Source organism: Homo sapiens, chromosome 20, assembly GCF_000001405.40.
Source record: "Homo sapiens chromosome 20, GRCh38.p14 Primary Assembly".
In the NCBI taxonomy this organism is placed as follows: Eukaryota; Metazoa; Chordata; class Mammalia; order Primates; family Hominidae; genus Homo; species Homo sapiens.
Genome location: NC_000020.11, coordinates 16,311,602 through 16,326,363, shown reverse-complemented (window position 1 = coordinate 16,326,363; position 14,762 = coordinate 16,311,602). Strand labels below are relative to the sequence as shown.

Sequence of the window (14,762 nt, the reverse complement as noted above, 5' to 3'; positions counted from 1 at the left end):
GTCTGTTTATTCTGCTGATTATTTCTTTTGCTGTGCAGAAGCTTTTTAGTTTAATTAAGTCCCATCTATTTATCTTTTTTTTTTTGTTGCATTTGCTTTTGGGTTCTTGGTCATGAAGGCTTTGCCTAAACCAATGTCCAGAAGAGTTCTTCCAATGTTATCTTCTAGAATTTTTATGGTTTCAGGTCTTCTATTTAAGTCTTTGATTCATCCTGAGTTGATTTGCATATAGGATGAGAGCTGATGATCCAGTTTCATTCTTCTACCTGTGGCTTGCCAATTATCCCAGCCCCATTTGTTGAATAAGGTGTCCTGTCCCCACTTTATGTTTTTATTTGCTTTGTCAAAGATCAGTTGGCTGTAAGTATTTGGGTTTATTTCTGGGTTCTCTATTCTGTTGTGTTGGTCTATGTGCCTATTTTTATACCAGTAACATGCTGTTTTGGTGACTGTAGCCTTATAGTATAGTTTGAAGTTGGGTAAAGTGACACCTCTAGATTTGTTCTTTTTGCTAGTCTTGCTTTGGCTATGTGGGCTCTTTTTTGGTTCCATAGGAATTTTAGGGTTTTTTTTCTTTTCTAGTTCTGTGAAAAATGATGATGGTATTTTGATGGGAATTGCATTGAATTTGTAGATTGCTTTTGTCAGTATGGTCATTTTCACAATATTGATTCTACCCATTTATGAGCATGGGATGTGTTTCCATTTGTTTGTGTCATCTATAATTTCTTTCAGCAGTGTTTTGTAGTTTTCCTTGTAGAGGTCTTTCACTTCCTATTCACATTTCTAAGTTTTTTTTTTTTTTCAGCTATTGTAAAAGGGGTTGATTTCTTGATTTGATTCTCCGCTTGGTTGCTGTTGGTATATAGCAGCACTAGTGATTTGTATACATTCATTTTGTATCCTGAAACTTTACTGAATTCATTTATCAGATCTAGGAGCTTTTTGGATGAGTCTTCAGGGTTTTCTAGGCATACAATTATATCTCGTGAACAGTGACAGTTTGACTTCCTGTTTCTGATTTGGATGCCCTTTCTTTCTTTCTCTTGTCTGATTGCTCTGGCTAGGACTTCTAGTACTATGCTGAATAGAATTGGTGAAAGTGTGCATCCCCCTTGTCTTGCTCCAGTTCTCAGTGGGAATGCTTTCACCTTTTCTCTGTTCAGTATATTGTTGGATGTGGGTTTGTCATAGATGGCTTTTACTAACTTAAGGTGTGTCCCTTCTATGCCGATTTTCCTGAGGGTTTTAATCATAAAGCGATGCTGGATTTTGTCAAATCCCTTTTCTGCATCTCTTGAGATGATCATGGGATTTTTGTTTTCAATCCTGTTTATGTGGTGTGTCACATTTATTGACTTGGGTATGTTAAACCTTCTCTGCATCCCTGGTATGAAACCCACTTGATCGTGGTGGATTATCTTTTTGATACGCTGTTGGATTTGGTTAGCTAGTATTTTGTTGAGGATTTTTGCATCTATGTTCATCAGGGATATTGGCCTGTAGTTTTCTTTTTTAGTTGTTATGTTCTTTCCTGGTTTTGGTATTAGGGTGATACTGGTTTTAAAGAATGCTTTAGGGTGGATTCCCTCTTTCTCTATCTTTTGGAATAGTTTCAATAGGATGGATACCATTTCTTCTTTGAATGTCTGATAGAATTCAGCTGCGGGTTGATTTTTCATTAGTGTAAAGCACCAGATCTAAAAGATGATTTCCAGTGACAAATATTCTTGTCAAAATTAATGACAGACTCATTCAAACCTAGACAGTGGAGAAGAAATGTTAATTGTCTCTTTGATCACCAAAGATGTGGACTTTATTACTCTTTCCTCTGCAATAAACAAGGAAACTTCCACAGCAATGAGCTTGGAACTGTTTGCACATTGTGAAATGCCAGCACCCTGAGGGATCTTAATGACTGAATAGTCCAGTTTTCATTTTAGATATGAGGAATCAAATACCTATGGAGAGTTTTGTTAAGGTCACACCAAGATTTAGGACATGGGGCAAGGTTCATGTCTCCTAATTCCTGGTCCCATGCTCTTTGTCTGAACCTCCCTCTCCATGGCCATGTTCACTTTAAAAGGGAAAATTCACAGAATTCTCTAGATGAGACCAAAGAAAAGAAAGCCTGCTCCCTGTAAAAATCTGTTACATAGCAAGTCTCCATGGATGATAACAATGACAGGTTCCTGTCATGTCTGTCTCTGCAACAATTCAAATCGTAGTAAGAAATGGAAAATACACTTTAGTTACTTCATCTGCATATTTGTTCTTAAAAATGAAATATTTAATATTCACAGATCTGAAGTATCTTTCACTTTAAAAAATGTTTGTGGCACATATGAATGTCCTCAAGTTTACGTTCACTGGGTCATGCCTGAATGAAACTGACACCGGGCTTTGGGGAAAATGAGACTTCATGTGGAAAAGTTACAATATTTATACCAAATATAACTGAAAGATGGTGTAGTGCTAACTATGTTTCCAAATTTGATTTTATATCTAGGATGACTCTAAGTTTTAGCTTTTTGGTGACAACAGGACAGCAGCTTCTGTTAGGGATATATTCTGACTTTAATCACTGGCTGCTTCATATTGACCACCAACAATGAATTCTGTCTGTTCCTTCAGTCAGCTGATACTTCAGGAGGGTCTAGTATGTTGCAGACTCTGGTCTAGGGTCAGAAGAGATGTTCATAAATATTGTGTGGTATGGGCTTAAGTTACCCTATCAGGAGTCTAAAGGTAGCTCATCACTCCCTTCATAATCCAGCTAGGTTGTCCTGAAGAGTTGCTGCTTTATGCCTTTAACAAATCAAACTTGGAAGAGAATTGCTTATTTGTTTGTGAGTATATTTCTCAGTGACAGCTCTTCTTATAAGGCCTTGGGAGCTGCTATTAATTTGGAGTAGTCAGAAATGCTTCCATCTAGTCAGATGTGAGAATTATGGAGCCTTTTGATGAGCTTTTATTATTTGCATTTCTCAAAAGCTAGAATGGCTTAAATTTACAGCCACAAACCTTTAGGGTGCAGATGTTTCAAAAGCTGCTAGTTACCATGTAGGTGGGTTTACTTGCAAAAGACAGGTTATAGCAGATTTGACCAATTCGAGTGCTATGTTGTATTTTTTCTTCTAATCTTTAAAAATTGGGTAAAAGTTAGATAGCCAAATATCACAGGAGTAAAGAAAATGACTAGTAAATGAGGAATGACAACAGAGTACACTTTTATCAGGTGTTAACAGAAGTCAAATGTTTTCCTTTTATTAGTAAAGACTCCACAACTTTATTAGTTCTCAATTTCCTTTCAGTGATTTATAACCCAGTTTTAGCTGCTCAGTTGTTAAAAATCATAAAAGATAGGCAAGGCTTTTTATTACCCATTTTAATTTCTTTTCTATATTTTAGGGCTGCCATTATTTATATCCAAAGTAATAGCGATGCCATTTATCAAAATGGCTTATACTGTCTGTTGCCTCCAAGACCACCTGCACTTAATACAGGGTCTGGCTCAACTAAAATGTGAACTTTGCCAAGAGAAAAGGCTTTCAAAAACAGGAAACTTTTCCATTACATTTTTCCATTACATGTCTTCTTGATGGCAGCAGACTGGCTGACCTATCTTATTATAATGTAATAAACATTGAAGTCAGGATTTGAGCCTGATAACTCTTAGAAGAAAATTGGGCTGTGTCAGTTCACCGGGAATCAGAAAGAGAAAAATCAACTTATAGATGAAAATTTCACTCTGAGATCATTAAGAAATATTACAGTATCAGCAGAGAGAATGCTGACTATATTTCTAATATGCATACATATACATATAGCTAGCTAACTTGCTAGATGGATGATACTCAACGCTTTCATAATTCCCAACCCTGGGATTCACGAATAATTATAAAATAATTTATATTATAAAATAGCTTATAAGATTTAAGTAAATACTAATTGTCTTAGCTTACTCTTTTGAAAATTCTTCATATAGATCTATTTTTCAACCAAAAATGTAGAGGCTTGGTGGTTGAACATCCAAAATAAAGCTAATTACTTGGGTTTTTAGACTTCACAAGCACTGAAGAAGGGAAAGACAAATTTCATTGGAAATCGGTAGGCCTCAAATTATTGATTTCATTTTTTAGTGACTTAGTCTTGCTTTGGCTGTGTGGGCTCTTTTTTGGTTCCATAGGAATTTTGTCTTTTGTCTTTTGAATATATTTTATTCACCGAATTGCAAAACAAGCTTGCCATTATGCTTTTCTTAGGCCTAAGAAATATGCTATTGTAATCCTCATTTGTTTGTTTCCTGTGTTTTACTCTACATAACCAAATTTCATAATGAGACAAAGTAGGCCATAGGGCTGTTGTTAAGCTCTCCTTCAGCATTCTCTAGGCCTATCATATCTGTCACAAATATCCAATTTATTTGACCTCAGTCATCATTTTTAACTTTAATACACAGTTTTCCCATAAGAGCTCAAATATCTTTGCATCATTTCCCACTCCTGCTGTAAGGATAATAGCTATAACAGGAAAAGATGCCATTTTAAGGGTTTTCTCATGAATACTGCATTTCTGTTTGTGTCTGTCCTTTTTCTGTTCTACAACCTCTTGAAAAAATAATATGTTTCATTATTATATCAGGCCCCATTTTCCTTCTGCACATCTGAGCCTTACTTCAAATGAGAATACTGTGAAGATTTCATAGGAAGTAAGATACCTTCCTCAAAAGCAGTATAGCCAAGATAATAGGTAAAATATCTCCATGGTATCTAAAGTGTTACTTCTAACGCTGTGTAGGGAGATTTTAATCATCAGCATCTGAGTTATAGAATTTCAGAACTGAAATGAAACTTAAACATCTTGGTTCAATTTCTTCATTTTCACGATGATGAAACTAGGAACTAGAGAAGTTTTTATACATTGCTCCAGATTATACAACCAGCTATTTGCTAAGCTGAGACTTGAAATCCAGTTGCCCCAAATCTTAGGTTATTAAAAGAAAAAGACATATGGTGTTAATTTAACTCTTCCATTAAATTTGTAAAAAGAATAATCACTTTTTACTGTTTCTATAAAAATGATGCATGTTCATTTATAAAAATTTTACATAATACAAGGAAATATAAGAAAAAAAGGAACAGATTATCCCAAAATGATTCTATAAATATGATTAATGTTACCATTTAATGAACATTATTTTAAGTATCTAAATGAATAGGCACAGATAAGAGGATGGAGATGTAGATTGACAAAAAAGAAATTAAAATCGAAGAATAGGGAAAAGAGTGAAATAACTTTACGACATTGTGTTTATTCTAGATATGGTATTTTTAAGTATAAACATTACATTTAATTTTACTTGAACAGAAGTGAAAGAAAATGAAAACTGAAGAAATTGCTGAACTTCAAATTAAATTTTCTTCACCACATGATATATTGTCTCTAAAATATATGTGACTCTAAGATTATTTTTTAAATTGAAATGTTAAGGTCACTAGTTTTCAAATGATGTGTTTCCATTTTATAAATTACTAAGTGACTCTTCTAACAGAGATAAAATTAACTTTATTTTCTCCCACCTCCCAAATTTTTTAAGTTATATTCTGAGATCTTTACATTGTGCTATCTTGTGGTTGGATATTTTTGGTCATTCAGTATGTTTTTGAAAGATGCACCTTGATGTGTTTTATCTGAGTTCTTATCTGCTTCAGAATGTGTATTTGTGGCACTTGAAAGACCCTTTGGTTAGATATAAACTTTTTGGGTCACATTTCTTTTATCACATTTTATTTTGTGTTGTTATTTTCTCCGCTCTGTGTGCTGCGTGCTAATCTGTTTTTATTGTGCTTGTTCTGCACTTGTTCCTTCTACTGGGGCTTTCATTCCCATCGTGTTTTTGTTTCTTCCACCTCTTTCTTAAGTCCTGCTGGCTCACATTTTTTTGTGGAAGGAAGGAGGGTGCAGAGGCACTGATTTTTTTAAAGTTTTTTTTTTCATTTTAGAATAGCTTTAGACTGTGTTTTTGCCTTTTAATTTGCCTTGTAATATTTTGTTGAAAGCTAGACACTATATATTGGGTAAAAGGAATTGAGGTAGATTGATTTTTAGTGCGAGGTTTTATGTTTATCTGGCTAAGATATAGGCTAGGTTTATTGGTTGATGTCGATGTGGTGTCAGAGGCTAAAATTTCCTGTAGTGCCCTTGTTTTTGTCTTCCATTGTTGTCTTTGGGCTTTCCTGGAGTCTTTTAAAATAGGGTCTGAGGCTTACAGTTATTTCAGCTGTAATCCCTGTTACACAGCAGCCCCATGATGTGATGGTAAGGTATGGTGAGAGGAAGCCTTCTATAGTCCTAGGGTAGTTTGCAGTCTTTTCATGAGCCTGCGTTGAGTGTTTCATTTAGCCCTGGTCGGTTAGGCTCTGGCAAAACCTAAGGTAGTTAGGTTCTGGTAAAACACTTTCTCTTAAGAGCGAGCCTTGTGAAGGAGAACAGAGAGCTCTGGGAATATTTAAAAATGGTTACTTTTTCCTTCCCCTGCTCAATCCCCTAATGTCACAGTGAGAACACATCATTTGAAAACTAGAATCCAACTTCACAGTGAGAACCTGGTGGGGCTCCTGGAAGTAAAACGCTCAAAAGCGTGGAGACCTTCCTCAAGACTGGCCCCCCTCAGAGATTTTAACAATCACACTAGTCTATATTTGAGCCTCCAGAGATTCTGGAATTACTGTTCATAGTGTTTCTACCAATACTGGCTCTAGCAGCAGGCCTCAGTGCCAGGCTGAGTTATGATTCTCTGTGTCCACCTGTCTGTCTCTGCAGTCTGAGGGCAGTAGTTTGCCCTGTGATCTCACTTCTCCACTGGATCTAAAAAGAGTTGTTGATCTTCATTTATTTTTCAGCTTTTTTCTTGTCATGAGGACAGGAGTAACTTTTCAGCTCCTCGTGTGTAGGATCAGAAACCAGAAGTCCTATTTTAGAATACTTTTAGATTAATAGAAAAAAATCTGAAGATAGTACAGAGTTCTTATATACCATACTCAGTTTCCCCTAGTATTAACATCTGCCATTAGTATAGTACATTTGTCATAACTAGTGAGCCAATACTGGTACATTATTATTAACTAATGTCTATACTTTATTGATATTTTCTTAGTTTTTACCTAATGGCCTTTTTCTGTTCCAGGATCCCACCCAGGACACCCCATTATATTTAGTCATTACGTCTCCATAGGCCCCTCTTCACTGTGACAGTTTCTTATACTTGCCTTGTTTTCAGTGACCTTGACACTCTTGAGGAAGACTTGTTATGCATTTTTGGGAGGGAGACCGCAGAGGTAAAAATGCCATTTTTATCATATCATCTCAAGGATATATACTATCAGTATGTCTTACCACTGTTGATACTTGATCACGTGGCTGAAGTTTCTCTACTGTAGAGTTGCTTGTTTTTCTTCCTTTCCACACTGTATTATTTGGAAGGAAGTCACTATGCATAGCACACATTTCAGGAGTGGGGAAATAATGGGCTACTTTCTTGAGGGTGAAACATCTACATAAATTATTTGGAATTATTCTGAATTGATAGTTGAGTTACCCATTTATTTATTTAATTCTGTCATTGTATTTTGGGTTACCCACCAATACTTTATTTTATTTTTCAAAGTGAATCTGAATCCCCCATTTATTTATTTATTCAGTTATTCTATTTTGGGTTATCCACCAATACTTTTTAATTTTCTTTTTCAAATTGTCTCAGCTTTGGCCACTGGGAGCTCTTTCACTTGATGTCTGTGTTCCTTTGAGACACCGCGTCTTGTGTTTTTGTTTTCAAGCACTTTGTGCTTTCTGGCGCCATAGGTTGCTTCAGGCTTGTCGTGTGTATTCCCTGCCCCATCCTGGAATCAGCCGTTTCTCCAAGAACTGGCTCGCTTTGCTTCCTCTTTATTACCCTTATTTTCTCTTCTTTCAATGTGTGTATTATTTACTTCTTTGGGCTCTATTTAGAGATGGATTTTATGGTTCCTACGTGACTATTTATTCTCTGAATTCCTCCTGGGTAGCTTTGGCTGATCCCACTTACGGTGTATCCTCTTGAGCTGCCTTTTGCTTATGTTTCATTCAATGTCACCTCACCTCACCCTTTTTACACATAGTTTCAGTTTTGGTTCCTTCTAATTATTTCTCATCTTTAAGGGAAGTGGACTAATTGTTGTGGGAAAACACCAGTACTTTGTGGGAGCAAGGAGGGGCAGAAGCTGGGGAGGAGGAGGGCAGCTATGGCATGCGCAGACCACTTAGAATTGTCCTGAAACTGTTTTCACCAATTTTTTCCTTCACTTTGAGACACATCTTCTCTTGTTTTCTGGTTCATGGGGGCTGTGGAGTTGCTGGCTGTGGGCGATAAAGCCAAACGCTTGCTCTCTGGCGTCTCCTGCCTCTGTCTCTGGAGACAGGGACTTCCCCAGGCTCCTCCTCTCACAGCCCCTGCTCGCCTTCCTCCTTGAGTGGAATTGCATCCTGATCTTTTTCTCATCCCCATATTTAGCATAGGCAGAATGCAGGTGAGGGTGAGGGTGGCAGGCCACCCTTGTCTCCCGTCATCTCTTCTCTCTGTGATGGTCTTCTGGATGCTGCTGCCTGGCCGACAGTTTGAGCTGTGGCGGTTTCCCAGTTCAGAGACAGTGTTTGCGGTGGTAGCAGTGCTTTTGAAGAAGGTGAGAGGAACAAATCGAGTCATTGCTCCACCATCTTTAACCAGAATGGTTTCACCAATTTTTATGGTTTTGCAGAAAGATTATTTTTGGTGCAGTCACGCTTTTCAACATGAGACTCTCTCCAAAAAAGTTGTAAGGGGAAATGATGATGCTTGTTCTTTACGAAAATGAAATCTTACAGAAAGAAAGAAATTCTTTTTCTTCCATTACTGAATCCCAAGTATCTTGAACATTTTTATGTAATTCAGAAATACTTACCTGAGACGCTGTAGAATGTAGTTGTTGAGAGGAATATATAGAACTTCAGGAACTTTAATTTCTTTAAATATAGGACACTGTATCTCCTTTGTCAGAGGCTACAGAGGAAATCCAAGAGGAGTCTCTCCACCTACAGATTGTCATTCACTGTTCCTGACAGTACTTCTCATGAAAATCAAAACTAGAATATCTGTTCTGTTAGAAAAATGAGGCAATAAAAATGAAAATGTGTAAATATAAAGTACTTGAGAGGGAATGAAAATGTTCAGATAATATTTCTGATTTAATTTTAAACTTTTTATTTAACGTGAGAAATCAAATAAAAGATGTTGGTGTGTGGGGGACATGAGTAGAGAGGTCAGAGACAATTCAGAATCACATCTTCTCTGAACCTTTCTTATATTCTTAATTTGTTGGAAGTGTTACATTTCAGAAAACAGCACTTTCAGCAAAATGGAAGAGATTTTTTGGTGTTCGGTTGTTTTCTTTGGTCTTCCAGGCACAGTTATTTGTCCTGACCAGTGTTTCTTTTGATCTTGGTAAATTGTCCATTTTTTAAAACTATTTAGGCAGTTCAAATCATTTACACTTCAGAAATGAAACCTACAGAGAATTGCTTTTGTTGATCTATTTTGAAATAAATGAGGCAATAGCTTTGCACTTGTGGAGAGAAAAAAAAGTCCAGCCCTCTTCTGTACTCTGGCCATCTAACCCGTGGTAAGAGGTTTAGCTATATTATTATTTTACGAATGGAGTGGTAATTCCTGCCCCTGCTCCCCACCTTCTTCATTCCAGTCATTCAGCAGGTCAGCATCAGGGCCCTCATTTTTCAGAGACTCCTTTATTTGAGCTGAGGAAGCCCATCCAAGTAAAGATGATGCTCTTTTTTTCTTTTTGGAAGATGGACTTAGGAATGTGACTCTAATATCTTCTATGTTAGCTATTATTGTTCTCCAAATGGCCTCCTGTGCCACCTGCCCTGCTATCCCAATGCTTTCACTACTTTAATGTAGTATATTTTAAAATATAAGATACTTCTAGTTTTTGTTTTACTTTTGAGTGCCTTAAGAAAAATATTCTTTTGAAATGGATTGGCTTAGGTATCGCTGATCAGCAACTATCAAATGAGATATTTTACTTGGCAGATAACGCAGCTGATGGAAAATGAAGCGACCCTAGCAGTCACTTAAGTGTCGAAGTTTTATGCAGGATTTAGATAGATGAAATTGCTGATACTCAACAGTTTTTAACTTACAGAACTGGCAATTTCATCTTGTCCAACCTGAGCTTATAGATAGCAAGGCCTAAGTGGCACTGTTAGGATTCTCTAAAGAGGAGACATGGAGGTGGTTTCTACTATATCAGAGGGAAGGGATTCACTCACGTTGCAGTTGAAGCTGTTTCCGATGGAAATATCATTATATTAATGGGGGCATGTTTTTCCTATACTTTACATTATGGCCTTGGCTTTCTTCTTTGGCTTGTTCATGCCCCAGCCCCACCTGTAGGACCTGGGCCCATTAGCTCACATTTCTATCATGAGCCACATTGGAACTTTTGCAGCTGTTCCTTTTCTCCATCCTACCTGTACTTTATTGTAAGGATAGCTACCATTATTCTTAGTTTTTACTTGGAGAGGGGTAAGATGATAGTTGCTAACTAACTTTGTATGTCCTGGAATGGACTTCTGGGGAGCTCCAGCCCCATCCTGCTTCCTGCTGTTCTCCACTGCTCTGCTGACCCTGGGCAAGGGTGCAGGTCCTCAGCAGGGTCCCGTTGACAACTCTTGTTGGAACTGTTGATGACTGCCTTGGAGTGGTATGTTCATGTTTCTGGTTACATACACTTAGGAGGAATCACTCTTTTTCATCTTTACCCTAGATCCCCAAAGACTTTGCAACAGTATCTTTCATGCACTGCAGACGCTCCTTACAGCTTTATCCCGAGAGGCCTGGAGTCAGTCCTGACTTTGCCCCCATGACTCTGAGCCTTTCCAAGTCACTTAGCTCTGGGCTTGGGTGTCTTCAACTCTAAAGTCAGACAGTTAGTTGAGTATCATGGTCCTGTGATTATAGGCCTGAAAGTCACTTAGAATTGGCCTTTTCCTCCTAAAATCTGAACAACAGTGTTGCACATAATTTACACATAGTTATTTCACAGGCTGAATATTAATAGCACAGAATGCTTCCTCCATCTGGGTCTGGAGAGGGAACGCCACTGTTGACTAGCAGGAGATGTGAATGCTTGCTCCCTCCCCGCTTCCACTGCCTAAAGTCCTTTTATTGCACGACTTCTGATTGAGCATGTGAGTGTGACTATAAATTTCCCCTGACAGAAACCACATCACCTCATCAGCCACATAAGAAAATGACAAAACAACCAACTGTGAAAGCATGCTTGCCAAGCTTTCAGCACCACAGCATCGGGGGAAGCGGGAGGCACGTTTGTACTGGAGGAGATGGAAGCTGGAGGGAGCCAGAAGATGAGCTCTTCTTGTACCTGTCTTCTCTGAGCTGCAACATGGGGGGAGTGTGTTTGTGCCACTGAGTCCAGGTTCCGGAAAACCCTTTGCTCCTTGAAGCCATGTCACTACGGCTTCCCAGTGGATGCAGAGAGGCCACAAGGGAATGTGGGCGTGCCACTTGCTCAGTAATTAGCAGATCTCTAACAGCTATTAATATAGCTAAAATCCAGTCACTAAATCTTCACGGAATCCTTTTAAAGTTTGGTTTCATTTTCTGTGGTTTTATTTCAGCAGAGAATACTCGGGCTCAGAGAAACGTAGCTAGTAAGCTGGTTAGTGGTCAAGCCAGGATTCAGACTGGGTCTGTCTTGCCTCAGTGCCCATGGTCTTTCACTTTACCTTGAACTGATTTTAAAGTTGGATGTCAGCCAACTAAACATTGGTGAGAAACAGAGATGGGGAAACCCATCCCTTGGTGTTACCTTCAACCCACTCCAAGGTTTCTCTGCTTTGGTAGAAAGAACACTAGGGGGAATGAGACAAACATCTGCCCAACTTCAATCAACTTTTAAGACAGGCTATAAAGTCATCAAAGACACCTTTAAGAGAGTGAAAAGGGAGAATTATTCTTACTTGAGGAAAAGGCAGACAACGAATTTAAAAATGGACAAAAGAGTTGAACAGACACTGCCTAAAAATGACTAACCAGATGTCAATGAGCAGGTGAAGAGTTGTTTGACAACATCAGTCATCAGAGAAATGCAAATATGAACCACAGTAGACATGACCCACCAGCATTGCTAAGAAGGACGACCACTGTACCAAGTGCTGGTGAAGATCTGGAGCAACCACATCTCTCAGTCACTTCTGATAGGAGTGTCAGTTACTAAAACTGTTTTGGAAACCATTTGATAGTTTCAAATACAGCTGAACACACACACACTCTATAACCCAGCATTTGCAACACGTAAGAGTATGACTATCAGAAATACGTACATATGTTTATCAGAAGATCTATAGGAAAGTGATCATAGCAGCACAATTCTAGTAACCACAAACTGGAAACTAACAAAAAGCCCAACAGCAAGATAATGAACAAATACATTATGGAATGTTCACATGGTGGAATACTGTACTGCAGTGAAAATGAGCAAACTATTGCTACGCATAACAACATGGTTGGATCTCACAAACATGATGCTGAACAAAAGGAGGTAGACACAAAAGAGTTCATACTGTATGACATCTTTTGCATGAAGTTCAAAAGTAGGAAAAACCAAGCGATGCTATTGTCATAGTGTCAGGCCTGCGTTAACTTTTGTAGGGGTGAGAGGGAGTGCCTGGAAGGGAGCAAGTGCAGCTCTGGGGGTGCTGGCAGTGTTCTGCTTCTTGATGCGAGTGCTGGTTACACAGTGTGTGCAGATTTTGAAAATACATCCAGTTCTTCCCTTGTGATATGTGCACTTTTCTGTATGTATATTATACTTTAATACTATGTTTTAAAAGTATTATATATACAGATGCTAGTCTTTAATTCTTGACTCCCACTGTGGCAATATAAATTTAAATCAACTTAGTGATTTGCATAGGCATAAAATTGGAATTTTGTGACATATTGTGCCCTACATTGTGGGAGAAATGCTCATTTTTTCTTGGTAATGCTTCATTGGCTTCAATTTGTCTGGTCCTGACAAATTGAGAAAGGAAGGAAATAGTGAATTCTGCAACTGCAGCAATTATTGCTACTTAGCATTTATTCAGCCAAGGCAACACTGGCTAGTTGGATTCTCATCAGATTATAGAATCCTATCTTGCCTGGGAATCTGTAGTAAAACTTATTGTTTATAATTTTTGTACATTCAAGAGGAAAAGCATAAGAGAAATACTATGAAATGCTAAGATCAGGCTAAACAAAATCTGAACCTTCATTTTTAGGAAACAAGGTGAAAAGATGGAAAGAGAAGTCCTCTTTTCACATGGGCAGTCTTCATTCACGGTGGTAACTGAAAAGGCAATACTGAATATTTAGAGAACCTTAGCAATAGTCTGAAAACGATTTTATAAAATGTTCAGGTAGTGTGTAGGTTGAATTTTCAAATTCTTATCTCAACACAAAACTAATTGGATTCTAGTAAAAAAAAAAAAAGGGTGGGAGGACTGAAAGAAGAACAAACATGTGTTTTAAAAAACAAAAAGTATAAAATACCACCTGGCACAGAGTCTGATATGTCATCTGAGACAGAATGTTGAGAATCAGATTCATTCTTCCATGGAGTTCCCATTGTCCTGTCTTCTCATTTGACCACTGGGGAATGTGACCCAAGGTTGCTTTATCTGTTGAAGGTCACACAGTTGGTGATAAAGCAAGGCAGGACCCACCATCTTTAAACTTTCAGCCTCTTTCTTTTCACCCCATGGAAGAGATTTCAAATAATAGATTAATAATAGCCCAACAATTAACAGGTATGCTATTAATGCATGTCTTTTAAAATGTCTATTTCAGCTTGCTGCCCTTGAATTTCCTCCAAAGAAACTATTTGGAAATAAGGATGAACGTGTGATTGCTGAGAGACGAAGTCACTTAGAGGTAACAGAATTAAGCTGTTTTTCCTCTGTGTATGTAGAAAATGTACCATCTGACCGGTAAGAATTGTTTCTGTTAAATACTATTAAATTTCTTCACAAGTGTGAAGATGCTGCCTCATTAACACAGGAGATGGCAGCAGTAGATTATGAAGATATGATATCAGCTTGTTTAAAATACAAGTCCTTATCTTCCTCTGGTCTAGCGGAACATTTTTCTTATTTTTAAGAAGATGCATTTATTCTAAGGGTTAGGAAGCAGGATGTGAGTGAGAACTAAATATTCACCATAGACAGATGGTATGTGATACAGGATGAGAGTACAAAGCTTGCTGCAAAAACTTGGAATTAATTAACTGAAAATTTATAGTATTACATCATTGTTGCTTTTTCAGGAGAGTTGGAAGCAAAAAGACACATACCTATTTTAGTCATGGGTAGGTTTCATTTGACTTATTTTAACTTAATCTTCCAAGCCAACTACATGTAGAACTCTGGTTTAACACAAGTGTTGTTTTTCTGACTGCCTCACTGCCAATGCACATTGTTGACTGCTTTATCTAGTTTGTATTTCTTTTTTGGGATATAGTTGCTTATTTGGTTGGAGATGCTAATGAGGCTGAGTCTTTTCACTAAGGCAGGGACCAGTTGTTTTCTTTAAGAATGGTGAAAACATGATCATGGCTAGTCCTTGCTTCTTGGCCACTCTCTTGCCATTGTGAACCATTGAGGCAGAC

General features: G+C 37.8%; 1 protein-coding gene across 12 annotated transcripts in view, besides 2 other annotated features; it reads left to right on the top strand.

The window, feature by feature from the left end:
- Nucleotides 1-14,762, top strand: part of KIF16B (kinesin family member 16B) — a 301,345-nt gene that overhangs the window by 247,085 nt on the left and 39,498 nt on the right. For all 12 annotated transcript variants that reach the window (XM_047440266.1, XM_047440264.1, NM_001199865.2 and 9 more), the window contains one exon: nucleotides 13,946-14,029. In XM_047440266.1, coding sequence (XP_047296222.1) covers nucleotides 13,946-14,029 — 84 coding nt within the window. The remainder of the gene's footprint in view (nucleotides 1-13,945; nucleotides 14,030-14,762) is intronic.
- Nucleotides 3,506-3,800: a silencer, noted in NCBI's record as "tiled region #7814; HepG2 Repressive non-DNase unmatched - State 23:Low". NCBI's record gives its function as "represses a minimal TATA promoter and a strong SV40 promoter by Sharpr-MPRA in HepG2 cells {active_cell/tissue: HepG2}" and the evidence as "EXISTENCE:reporter gene assay evidence [ECO:0000049][PMID:27701403]".
- Nucleotides 8,174-8,693: an enhancer, noted in NCBI's record as "active region_17561". NCBI's record gives its function as "activates an Ori minimal core promoter by ATAC-STARR-seq in GM12878 lymphoblastoid cells {active_cell/tissue: GM12878}" and the evidence as "EXISTENCE:reporter gene assay evidence [ECO:0000049][PMID:35858748]".